A 1,815-nucleotide genomic window follows, 5' to 3' on the forward strand; every position below is an offset into this window, starting at 1 on the left:
CTACCCAGTTACATTTCTTGTTCTAAAGATTTTTTCAGATACAACAAACAATATTTTACAATTTAACTTGTAGATGAATGAGTTTCCTGGGATATAATTTAACTAAGCAAACTCTTTCATACTAAAAATCTTATGACCTCTTTACCCATCTTAGGTTTTAAGATTGATATGAGAGGTATTCTGGAATAGAAATCCAAATTTAAGGCTAGAGTCAAGAGTGCTGAAGATAAGACTCTTATCTAAAGGAAAATCAAGCAATTGCTATGTCTTGCAAAGGCCAGTGAGCAGACAGAGGGGAGAGAATGCAATTGCCCCAAATAAAGACTCACTTTGGAACTCAGTGATTATGTGTGTGCATATATGTGTATATATGTATATTATACATGTGTATGCATGTATATATGTATATTATACATATATATGCATGTATATATATGAATATATATAAAACTGAAAACTGCACACATCCCATATACACCATATACATGAAAGTGAACACACACACATACATAAACATATATATTCAGTTTCAAACAATTGTTAGGGAACCTGAGGAAGAAACTAAATGGAATATAATGGTTGCATCTATGATAGCCATGGTACTAGAACTAGTAGTAGTTCTACTAAGGTGAGAATTGACATAGTAAAAGAAATAAGATACAAAGCAGTAAGAGAGAGCTACATTTTCCTTAAGGCCAGGCTGAATATTCACTAACAAGGAAATTTCTACAGTCATTATTTTAATCTGATTCATTCTCTTGGTGGGATATTCCAGAGTTACCACCTACAGAAATTCCACTTTTCCTTACTGAGGTTTTCTTTTTTTTCTTTTCAGTCCAAATATTAGTCATTTTGGTAGAGAAGGTAGAAACAATTAACAATTGAGTAATTCCTCAAGAATCATGTTAAAAGGTTTCCAAATCATGAATGTATAGTTATATTTTGTTCGCTAGATTTTAACCCACATACCTCACTTGTATAGAAATTATGCTTATTTGGATACTCAGTATATTTCTTCACATAAAGACAAAATCTATAAAATGTACACACACACAGATGCTATGGATACATGCACACATGTGCACACACAAATATGTATACATGGTTTACCATTATTTTCTAGATCATTCAGAGGTCAGTATTAATTAAAACATCATAGATCTATGGCAAATTTTGGGCCACTTCTCCTAAGACAGGAATTTAAAAAGCCTTCAATTGTCATAACAATGGGAAGAAGTCTGAGAGCTGGAGTAAGGGAAGTTGGTGCTCAGAAATATTAACTACCATTTATATAGGATATCCTTATGAGATAATCTTAAAGACAAATGAGGCTAAAATAGTAATACGAGTTATTTAGCCAAGTTTTCCAGCAGGAAGAAGGAAATAAGCAGTGAACTAAAAAGCATACAAGATACAGAGGAGCAGGTTAATTGAAGCCATTGCAGCAGAAATTGAGAAGAATAAACAGGAGTTAGAAGATGAGAGCAAGCAATTGCAAGTGGAGTGGGCTGAGCTGGAATTATGGTGTAGAAAATGACTGGTTGAGAAAAACCCAAACAAATATTTCTATAATGTCATGTGCATAAGATACCTGTAGATGTTATCAAGGTATATACATAAACTACCTGTCATTAGAGCTAATTTCTTAGCAAATTATTCATAAAAGTTTATAACTTTGTGAGGCATTACGGACACCAAAACTAATGATTTGGCATTTCCATGGGCCAATTTGTCTAAAGAACTATCTTTTACACTTTACTGTTTTTTAATAAGCAATACAGTGCTCAAAAAGTCTTTTATACCAAGTCCAGTAGG

Source organism: Homo sapiens, assembly GCF_000001405.40.
Source record: "Homo sapiens chromosome 9 unlocalized genomic scaffold, GRCh38.p14 Primary Assembly HSCHR9_UNLOCALIZED_CTG3".
Lineage (NCBI taxonomy): Eukaryota > Metazoa > Chordata > Mammalia > Primates > Hominidae > Homo > Homo sapiens.